Source organism: Homo sapiens, chromosome 2 (assembly GCF_000001405.40).
Source record: "Homo sapiens chromosome 2, GRCh38.p14 Primary Assembly".
Classification (NCBI taxonomy): Eukaryota; Metazoa; Chordata; class Mammalia; order Primates; family Hominidae; genus Homo; species Homo sapiens.
The window spans coordinates 134,635,154-134,647,308 of NC_000002.12; the positions used below are offsets into that span (position 1 = coordinate 134,635,154).

Sequence of the window (12,155 nt, forward strand, 5' to 3'; positions counted from 1 at the left end):
TTATGAAAATCCATCTACATCGAAAATTGAGACAATTACAGTCTCTGACTCCTTGCTGAGATTTCTGTGTTGACTGGAGAACAGGAATACTACAACCTTATTTCCTGGTGACAGGGACTTGTTCCCAATGCTCAGTAGACGGCTCTTCTATCTGTTGGCTCTGTGCATCCCTGAGCCACCCCCTCAGACTCCCACCCAACTCCAAAATTGCCCCCTTAAAATATCTCCTACTTCGTTTGCTAAAGGAATAGCAATTCATCCTTCTCTATCCCTCTTCCATCAATCATCAGTTGAGTTACCATTTGAGGTATCTCAGAGTGACAAAATCTTCTAAGATCCTTGGACTAACAAGTATTATACTAGAGGGACCAGAACAAGCATTCGATGCCGCTAGAGTCCTGGAAAATGCCTTCACTAGAATAGAGGAGACACAAAGACAAATGACTCCCGTCTTACCAGAATGTCATTAAAGTCTTTACCAGGGGAGATAAGACAAGGAAAAAACCAATAAGCCCATGCAGAAAGAAATACGGAAACCCAGACACAGATAAAGGCCTTCCAGCTTCAGAGAGCAGAGGGTGAGTACTTGTAGCCAGGAGCAAGGAAAAATGAACAGGGGATCTCAGCCAGCCTTGAAGCAGGGGCAAGATCGGCAAAAGTGGGGATTGGAAAAGAGTGTTCCAAGTGGAAAAGACCGTGTGGGTGTGGACACATACTCGAATCAGCAAGCAGAGACCCCATGAACAACATTCGGGGTTGACACTCATTGGGGAGACAACAGAATGGTCCTGCTGGTTGTTAAAATCCCCCAAACCCTCCATATCAGAAGGTATATGGCTGCTAGCTGGCCCTTCCTCTCCTGCCTCATGCATCTCTGCTACCCTCATCCTGGCCACCCTTCCTTTCCCTTCCCCCATGGAACTCTCAATTGTCTCTGCAATCCAGTCACTAACACGAGGACATGTGGACCAAGGGTCTGCCAGGACCTGGTCTAGCACTAAGTGCATTGTCAGGGCTGTGTCCACCACACCACACCAGTGATCAGAAGTCTGTGCCTTTCATCACTGGGCTCAGGCTGGCTGGCAAAGACCAGGTACAGGCACCAAATCTAAAGGTGCTTTAATGGAAGGCTGCTTCAGAAATCCAGACTTGTTTCTACAGTCCACAAGAATTACTTGCAAGGTTTTGTTAATTTATTTACTTGCCAAGGTTTCTTTAGGGAAAACGTAAACATGTACAGCAGCTCCTATATAGTATCTTTCGTTCAATGTCATTTAATTATCATCGAAACCGCCATTGCAAAATTATAACTGAGACAGTGAAAGAGACTTGACCTAACCAACTTCATCTTGCTTCTAACCTCCAAGCTGTCCTTGTTCTTTCCTGGGCATAGGGTGAACTGACTTTGGGATGAACTTAGTTTATAGTTTAAAGTTTAAAACAAAGACCATAACAGCCCTTTCCCAAAACAAACCTCCTTCTTGCCTAGGGACTAGACTGCCTTTGTAGCACTAACAAATTAGCCAGAAGATTAGAAATTATGATTTAGGAGTCATGCAGCTGGAGGCTACAAGATTCTGACCCTTCCCAAATTGCTCCTGGGGATTATATTACTATTATAAAACCTAAGATCAGTGCTTGATATATTTTGCAGATTCTGCACTTGATGGATCAGCTGGTACCATCCAAATCAATAAACTGGCTCCTCTGGTCTTGTGGTCCCCACACAGGAACTGACTCAGGGCAAAAGGACAGCTTAAACTCCCTATGATTTCATCTCCAACCCAACCAACCAGCACTTCTGACTCACTGGCCCCCCACCCACCACATTATCCTTAAAAACTCTGATCCCTGAATGCTTGGAAAGACTGATTTGAGTAATAATAAAACTCCAGTCTCCCACACAGCTAGCTCGGACTGAATTACTCTTTCTCTATTGCAGTTCCTCTGTCTTGACAAATTAGCTCTGTCTAGGCAGCAGGCAAGGTGAATTGTTGGGCGATTACAAAACATTGATGAGAAAAATCATCCAATTCCCCACCAGGGCCACTGTCTGTGTGGAGTTGGCACATTCTCCCCACGGCTGCATGGGTTTCCTCTGGAGACTCCAGTTCCCTCCCATACCCCAAAGCTGTGCATGTGAGATGAACTGCCAAGTCTACATGGTCCCCACTCATACTACATGAGTGAGTGTGGGTGTGCCTGAGTGTGCCCTGAGATGAGATGGCATCCCATCCAGGGCTGGTTCCCGCCTGGCAGCCTGTGCTGCCAGGATGGGCTCCAGCCATTCTCAACCTAGAACTAGAATAAATGGGTTGAAAAAATGAATGAATCAATAAATGAATGAATAAACATAAATTATTGTAAAATAAAAATTCATCAAGTCTACTATAATCATACAATTTCACAACAATATCCGATGCAGGCTGAGTGTGCTCAGTGAGTCCACCCTACTTGTGATTGTTTTTGAGCTGCTTAGGGGTAGGAGGTGCTCCTGATGATTTTTGCTTTGCAAACACTTATTCCTTAAATGAACCCACCACCACCACAACCACCATCACTCACCAATTCACCAAAAACTGGGTAAATAATTCTCTTACTTGTTTTCTCTTAAACTTTCTTAAATGTATGTGCAGCTCACATTTATTTCAATGTTAAATATTAGAAGTGTTTTGGGTCTTTATTTGGAAGTTTGATGATGTATTTGGAAGTTTGTAACAAGAAATATGCCTTTAGGAACTCAGCTCTTGCTTATATCAATGAGCCTGTGGTAAAATTGGTAAGGTCAGTTTCCAAGAACCAATCAACAATGTGAAGTGGGACTTAATGTGCATGGCTTAAAAAAGTAAACTGCACAAAACAGGGTTAAGTAATCTTCCAAAAATATTTGATGAATATTCATCCTGTTTGTTTAACACAAATAGAGACGTATTAATATATACATTGTTTTGCCTCTCACCTTTTTAAAAATTTACCAATGTACTTTGGAATTTGTTCCGTATCAGCAAATAGACACATACCTCATTATTATTAATAGCCGCAGGATATTCTATGCATTATATTACTCTACCGTAATTTATTTAAGCAGTGTCCTATTGATGGTTATAGAGGTTATTACCCCTTTTGCCATTACAAAACATGACAGCAAACATGTTAGCAAACTGTGTGTCAGACTTTCTGCATGCACATCTGCGTAAATCTGCAAGATAAATCCTAGTAGAAGTGGAAGACGTCAATCAAAGGGCATGCATCATTGAAAGCTCCTGAATGAGTAGGAAAGTCAAGAAAAGGGGGCTGGCAGGATCACAGACATCTGTGTTATGGTGGGAAATCTGGATAGAAGAGTCAAGAGGATTAAAGGAAGGAGATGATGGAGAAAGACCATTTAGGAGGCGCTAGCAATGTGCTGGCAAGAGAACCTGAATGAAGGCAGGGGTAATGGAGAGAATACAAGGAAAAGGATTTAGGACCAATACAGGAGAAACCACAGAGGGAAAAATTAATTGTTAGTGCCTGATGGTATGGGGACAGGAACAGAGAGCAGAGCAAGTGGGTAGGACAGTGAGGAAAGGAGAGGGGAGAACCAAAGGCTCCTACAGCGTTTCCAAGCCTGAGATGTCAGGAGGACACGGGTGCCAAAACAACACCCTCACCACGGGAGATGCTGAATTGAATGAAGGTGAGCTCCATGGTGCATGTGGTGACCTTGAAATGTTTATGGGACAACCAGGTAGATGTTTTTAACAGTGGCTGAAAATGTGTCATGGAACTCAGAAGGGACAGGAATGGGAACAGACCTTTAGGCACCACCCACAGAGGTGATGGCTGAAGCCTGGAATGGGACAAGGCCACCCAGGGAGAGAGGGGTACAGAGCGCCAAGTGCCACTTCTCTCTCAGTTCACCAACATTTAAGGAGGAAAGGGATGATCTGACGCCTGGACCCACAGTCATCTATCAACACAACCTGAAAAAACACCAAAGGAAGCAAAGGAAGTAAGACTAGAGCTGCATTCCACCGAGCTGACACTGAGCAGAATCAACACGGGAGTGAAGGAGAGCAGTAAAATCAGAGTGGATTTTTCACAGGACAGGAAGACTGTTTGGCATTCGTAAGCTGAAGAGAAGGTTTAAGTGAAGAAGGCAGAATATTGAAGAAGAGACAAAGCAGATAACTGATATATAGCAAAATCTCAGGACAACTGGTCCCAAGTGCCTCATCATCATGACTGCTGAGAGATTCTGACCATCTGAAAATTAGCCCACTGTGTAGTACTGCCATGGTCTCTTTTATTTGTGGTTTCTGGTTCCATTTCCCATTTTCTGGTAGCTTTTGCTTTCACTGGAGATGCTGAGACCCACCAATCCCCAATGGTGTTTCTGCAGTGAGAGAAGCTTCTAACAAAGAGGCTCACAGCAAAATGTCACTGACACAGGCTGTCGTCTAAATGTGCTGTTTTTGTGTAACCTTATCCATGGAGGACCCTTTTGTCTAGTTATAGCAAACCGTCTGCTAAATCAGAAATAAAGATCTAGAAAATGCCACAGAAACAAGCAACAACACAAAAGATGACATACCACTCTTTCCGAGGCCCAGCGTATTAGATACTTTTCAAACCACCGTTGACAATGAAATTAAAATATTTTTTCTGAATATGCCCCATGTCTCCCAGGAAAGGAAGATTCTAATGTTTCTTCTTTGGCTCATTCCTTTATTGTCAGGTCAGTAATAGCATTAAATTCAGCAAGCCGCTTCTTTCAGATATTAAATTATCTTCTTACTCACTTCTTTCCTGGACACAATGAGCACTTACAATTCAATTTTCCTTAAAAATAAACCCCAGTTTCCCCAGAGTATAGTTTATCTAAGACTTTGGTTCTCTTTACTGCCATTTCTATTTCCTGGTAACAAAGTCCTAATTTTTAAAGTACCAGTTCTGCAATCAGTACTTGGGAAAAGGTTAAAACTCAAGTCAATAATATGGGATATGAAATACAAAATCAGAAGATAAAATTATAAAAGGCAGAAAAGGAAGGGATGAGCCATGCTGTGCGACATCTGTGTTAAAGATGGCAGAGCACAAGGACCAGGGTCCCTCCTCACTTCATTAATTCCTAACAAACTGATGAAAAATACAGCCTTCTCCCCTCACGCCCAACCCCAGAAAAAAGAAAAATGAAGTAGATAAAACTTTACCCATCAATCCCAAAAAAGAAAAGAAATAGCTTTTGCAGGGTGCCTAGCCTGCAGAAGATGACAATATACTGAAAATTCTCACTAATACACTCCAATTTCATGAAAAGCAAGATGAGGAAATGGATAATAGCCTAGAAAACTCAAGCAAAATGGCATTGGTACAGATGAGTTTTAACCATCACTGCAGTATCTCTAGATCTCAGCAGAGGCCATCAAAACTGTTAACAGTTCTTTGGGCAGTTCTCTATGAACCGGGGAAATGCTTCAAGCCTGAGACTAGCCTCCAACCCACGGGAAAAGACACGCCCCAGGGGGACAAACCCTGGTTTAAGACCTTTAACCAAATCTCAGAAGAGAAAGCACAGCCCAGGTCTCTCAAAACAGACTACACCCACGCTCAGCCAAGCTCCATCCCCATAGCCCTTTACCTACCATGCACCTTCAGATCATAGAAAACTTACACATAATACTCAATGTCCTCAAACTGCAGCTCAGAGAGGAAGGCAAACAGGTCTCATTTAAGACAGAAAAGATAACATGAAGAAATCTGCTTTACTTTGTTAAAACAAAGAATAGTTGTAGATAAAGCTGTCCATGTTTAGCTGTCCATGTTTATGACAAAGAGCAAGCATGTGTGTAAACATACTACAAACAGCAAAAAGAAAGTTTCAAAGCATTCTTGAGAACATGGATGAAGATGCAGTTGGAAATAATACATAGCTACAAAAACAAAAGGAAATTGCCCATGAATACAAAATTTCAGTAGTAATCAAAATTGAGATAAGGGTAGTCAAATAAACAATGGCACACAAAATAAAATGCAGAAACAGGCCCACACATATATGGTCAATTGATTTTCAACAAAGATGCCAAGGTATTTCAAGAGCCAAAAGAAAATCTTTTTAAAAAGTGGTGGTGGAATAACTGAATAGTCGACTGTAAGAAAAAATGGACTCTGATTCCCACCTCACACCATATACAAATACTAACTAGAAATTGATTGTGAGCATGAACATAAAAGCTAAAACTATAAAACTTCTAGAAGGAAACATAAGAAAATATCTTTGCGAACTGAGCATAGAAAAAGATTTCTTAAAATAGCATAGAAAGCAATACCATTCAGAGAAATTAACCTTTTAACTTCTGCTCAGAAAGACATGGTTAAGGAAATAAAAAGTCAAGCAACAGATGGAAGGAGAAAATATGTGCAATACATATATCTGGCAGAGGAGCCACTAAAAATTTATATACAAAGACATAGTCAAAAGCACAATAATTAAATTAAAATGGAACGCTAAAACACGTTCAAATAATTCAAAAAGATCAGGAAAAGACAAAGAAACAAAAAATAGATAATTAAATGGTATATCTAAAGAAAAGCACATCAATAATTATATTAAATATGAATGCTCTAAATGCACCAATTAAAAAACAGAGGCTATAAGGATTGCATTTTTCAAACAAGCCAATTATGTGCTATCTACAGACTACTCACCTCAAATATAATTATATAAATAGGTTAAAAGCCAAATGTAAAAAGATATACCATGTCAACAAGAATCAAAAACAAGCTAGAGCAGATATATTAATATCAGACAAAGTAGATTTCAGAGCAAAAACAACTATCAAGGATACAGAGAGACATTACATAACGGTGAAGGGTCGATTCATCAAGAAAACACAACATACTAAATGTATATTTACCTAACAGCAGAGCTTCAAAACACATGAAAAAAGAACTGAAAAAGGAAAAAGATTGGTTATTAAGACCAATCCACGATTTTTTTTTTTTCTGAAATGGAGTCTTGCTCTGTCGCCCAGGCTGGAGTGCAGTGGTGTGATCTCAGTTCACTGTAACCAACCTCCACCTCCCGGGTTCAAGCAATTCTCCTGCCTCAGCCTCCTGAGAAGCTGGGATTACAGGCATGCACCATCATGCCCAGCAAATTTTTGTATTTTTTAGTAAAGATGGGATTTCATCATGTCGGCCAGGTTGGTCTCGAACTCCTAACCTCAGGTGATCCACCCGCCTTGACCTCCCACAGTCCTGGCATTACAGGCACGAGCCACCGCGAACGGCCACCAATCCATAATTACAGTTGGAGACTTCAATACTACTTTCTTAGTAACAGATAGAACTAGTAAGAAAATCAGCGAAGATGTAGAAGAATGGAACAACACCAGTATCCAACTGGAACTAATTGAAATTTACACAATACCATACACCATAACAGTAGAATACACATGTGTTTCAAGTGCACATGGAACATTCACTAGGATAAACCATAGCCTGGTTTACAAAACATGAAGTATATCCTCTGACTATAATGGGATTAAATTAGCAATCAACAATGGAAAGATGACAAGAAAATCTTTAAACATTTAGAAACCAAACAACACAAGTATAAATAATCCCAGACTCAAAGAGGATACTTCAAAAAAGAATTTGAAAATATTACAAATGCAACAAAAATGAAAATAGAGCATATTAAAATTTGTGGGATACAGACAAAGCAGTGCTTCAAAGGACGTTAGATCATTAAATGCTTATCTTTTTAAAGAAGGTAGGTATCAAAGCAATAATCTTAGTTTCTACCCTACAAAAAAAGAGATGAACAAAGAATAAGCATGGCAAGCAGAAGCAGAGAAATAATAAAGAGATCAGAAACCAATGAAATTGAAAACATTACAAAGGCAAAATAAATGAAACAAAAAGCTGATTATTTGAAAAAGAAATACGTAAACCTCTAGCAATGCTGACACAAAAAGAGAGAAGACACAAATTACCAATATCAGAACTGAAAGAGGAGACATCACTAGACCCCACAGACATTAAAAGAATAATAAGTAATATAACAACAACTTTATGTACCTGAATCTTTCAATTTAGATGAAATTGATCAATTCCTCCCTAAACTACCAAACTTTACTCAAAATGAAAGAGATAAATGGAATAGTACTCTAACTGTTATAGAAATATAATCCATAATTTACAATCCTTCTCTGAAGAGCAAATCTCCAGGCCCAGGTAGTTTCACTAGCAAATCCTACCAAGCATTTAAAGAAGAAATAACTCCAATTCCACACCAAGTCTTCTGGAAAATATAAGAAGAGGTAATAATTCTTACATTATTTTATGAGGTGAACATTATCCTGATACCAAAACCAAAGAAAGTATAAAAAGAGAAAACTACAGATCAATATTCTTCATGAATATGATGCAAAAATCCTCAACAAAATACTAATAAAAAGAATTCAGCAAAATATATTGATCACATCAATTGACAATTGTCAAAATTCAGTATTCATTCATGTTAAAAAAAAAACAACTCTTAGGAAACTACAAATAGAAGACTTCTGGGAGCTGATAAGAATGTTCACTCTCACCATTCCTATTCAACATGACACTAAAAGCCAGTATAGTAATGTAAGAAGAAATAAAAGGCATACAGATAGGAAAGGAAGAAATAAAACTGTCCTTATTTGCAGATGATATGATTTTCTAAACAGAAAATCTCAAGGAATCTTCAAAAAAGTAAAAAAGGAAACTCCTAGGACTAATAAGTAAAACTATCAAGTATGCAGGGTATAAGATAAACACACTAAAACCAGCCATATTTTTATACATTGACAATGTATAATTGGCAATAAGTTTTATAAAGCATTTACAATAGTTCCAAAACATTAAATGCAGGTAAATCTAATAAAATGTGTGCAGTAACAGTATGCTGAAAACTTCAAAACACTGATGAAAGAAGTTAAAGAAGTTCTAAATAAATGGAGAGACATACTGCATTCAAGAATTGAAAGACTAAACACAGTAAAGATGTACATGTCTGTAAACTTATCTATAGATTTAAGAAAAGGCCATTGAATTCCAGAGAGATTTTTTTTCTAGATATAGAGGAGTTGATTCTAAAATTCTTAGGGAAAGCCAACGGAACTAGAACAACTAAAACGATGTTTTTGAAAAAGAAAAATATTAAAGGAATACACTACCCAATTTGAAGACTTACTAGAAAGCTACGGTAATTAAGACCATGGGGTATTAGCAAAAGAAAAACAAGTAGCTCAGAACAGAGTCCAAAAACACCCGCAGAAATATGGCCATATGATTCCTTTCACAGATACTAATGCGATTCAATTTAAAAAGGTGGCCCCTTCAACAAATGATGTTAGAACAACCAAACATTCATATGCAAAAAATAAGTTGCAATCTATACACATCATAATTAGTTGCAACCTATACCTCATACATCAAAAATTAATTCAAAATAGATAATAAATCTAAGTGTAAAACATAAAACTATCAAAATTTTAGAAAAAACATAGGAGAAATCCGTTGGGATCTGAAGTTAGGCAAAGAGTTTTTAGACACGACACCAAAAGCATGCTCCATAAAAGAAAAAATTGATCAACTGACTTCACCAAAATGAAAAATATTTTTCTGCAAAAGATGCTATAAAGAGAATGAAAAAAACAAGCTACCACTGGGAGATAATATTTTCAAATCACATATCCACCAAAGGTCATGGATTCAGACTATATTAAAAACTGTCAAAACTCAACTGTAAGTAAACAACACAATTTTGAAAAACGGTTAAAAGCCTTGAAAAGCCACATTACTAAAAAAGATATACAAATGGCAAACAAGCACATGAAAAGGTATTTGACATCATTACCCATTAGGGAAATGCAAACTAAAACCATGAGATACTACTGCATACCTGTTAGAATAGCATAAGTTAAAAATGCTGCTTATACCAAATGCTTACAAGAATATAGAGGAACCAGAACTCTTATACATCGCTGGTAGGAATACAAAATGGTATAACCAGTCTTGAAAAACAGTTTGACAATTTCTTATAAATTTAAACATACACTTGCCATATGACCCAGCAATCCTACACCTAAGTATTTACCCTTGAACAGGGTTCAACCTATGTCCTCAGGCCAAATCCAGCAGCAGCTCTACTGTGCCCAGGTCCTTTTCATTGATGTATTGTTTATGGCTGCATTTGTGCTATAAGAGTGGAGTGGAATAGCTGCAACAGAGACCACATGGTCAGCAAGGCCAAAGATACTTACTATCTGGCCCTTTACAGAAAAAGTTTGCCAACATCTGGTCCAAAAAAGAGAAAACTTATGTTAACACAAGAACCTGTATGCAAGTATTTATGGCATCTCTAGTCATAACTGCCAAAAACTGGAACCAACTGAAACGTCCCTCAATAAAAGAACAAATAAACAAACTGTGGTATATCCATATAATGGAATGCTATGCAAAAATAAACAGGAACAAACTATTGATATACACAATTTGGATGAATCTCAAAGGCATTAAGCTGAGTTAAAGAAGACAATCTCAAAAGGTTATATACTATACAATTTCATTATATGACATCCCCAAAAAGACAAAACTATAGTGGCAAGAACAGATCAGTGGTTGCCAGGCTTTAGGTGTTGGGGGTATATATAAAGTGACTTTTGGGGGATAATGAAATTGTGCTGTATTCTGATTATGGTGGTAGTTAACATGATCTTACAATTGTTAAAAGTCATGGTACTGTATACACTAAAAAACAAAGTTGATTTTACTCTATGCTAAGTTAGAAAGTAAAATTTTTTTAAAGATAAACTTTACTCTTAATATTATGATTTCCTTGTAGAAGACATTTATTCACTTACAGTATCTGAGGATTAACATGCAAACATAGTCTCAATGTGTAACTTGCGGAATGGCTTTTTTTTTTTTTTAGACAGTCTCACTCTGTCACCCAGGCTAGAGTGCAATGGTACGATCTCAGCTTACTGCAACCTCCACCTCCCAGGTTCAAAGGATTTTTCCGCCTCAGCCTCCCAAGTAGCTGGGATTACAGGTGCCCGCCACCACATCTGGCGAATTTTTCTATTTTTAGTAGAGACAGCGTTTCACCATGTTGGCCAGGCTGGTCTCAAACTCCTGACTTCAGGTGATCCACCCGCCTCAGCCTCCCAAAGTGCTGGGATTACAGGCATGAGCCACTGTATGTGGCCTAGATGGCTTTTTTAGTTGTTGGTTTGCTTCTTTTCAGCTTCAACCCTCATTCTATGCTTTTATTTATTTATTTATTTATTTAGAGGCATAATTTCACTCTGTCACTCAGACTGCAGTGGCACAATCTTGGCTCACTGCAACCTCCACCTCCCAGGTTCAGGTGATTCTTGTGCCTCAGCCTCCCACGTAGCTGGGATTACAGGTGTGCATCACCATGCCCAGCTAATTTTTGTATTATTAATAGAGATGGGGTTTCATAATGTTGGCCAGGTTGATCTCGAACTCCTGACCTCAAGTGATCCACCTGCCTCAGCCTCCCAAAGTGCTAGGATTATAGGCATGAGCCACCATGTCTGGGCCATTCCATGTTTTTAAACTAAATACAAATCCTGGGACAACAAGGGGGTCAGGGATGTGAACCCACTGTGGTTGGATTCATGATGAAGGCATACAAGAAACAATTCCAGGAGACCACAGGATAAGTCATATTCATAAACTATTCATCCTCACACTCTGAATCCACCTGGAGTTGTGTAATTGATAAGAGGCAAGTCAGCCAAAGTTCATTCCCAATATGGGTCCCTTCTTCCAGTTTCTCAGAATACACTGTCAACACTGACAAAGGGCACCATATGCCAAGGTCCTAGCTTGAGAAGTAACAAGAAGACAGGCTCGGGAAATCCAGACCTGCCAATCATCAGCTGTGTGCCTTAGCCAAGTCATTCAATCTCTGCATGCCTCAGTTTCCTCATTTATAAAAGGAAGAGTCCCAATATCCTCTACATTGCTTCCAGCTCAAATTAAGTTTATATGATTATTATCTTCCAGTTCATTAGTCAAAATGTCTAGGAACTACATTTAGTAAACATTAAAAAGAAAACTGACACAGAGGGAACATTTATGGCAAAAAGGAAAGCAATCAC

The 12,155-nt window shown here is 38.6% G+C and overlaps 1 protein-coding gene across 1 annotated transcript in view, besides 1 other annotated feature; it reads right to left on the reverse strand.

Moving 5' to 3' along the window:
• TMEM163 (transmembrane protein 163) overlaps positions 1-12,155 on the reverse strand; it is a 263,242-nt gene that overhangs the window by 179,395 nt on the left and 71,692 nt on the right. The window lies entirely within an intron of this gene.
• Positions 432-632: a silencer, noted in NCBI's record as "peak3868 fragment used in MPRA reporter construct". NCBI's record gives its function as "represses an SCP1 promoter by STARR-seq MPRAs in K562 erythroleukemia cells {active_cell/tissue: K562}" and the evidence as "EXISTENCE:reporter gene assay evidence [ECO:0000049][PMID:32103011]".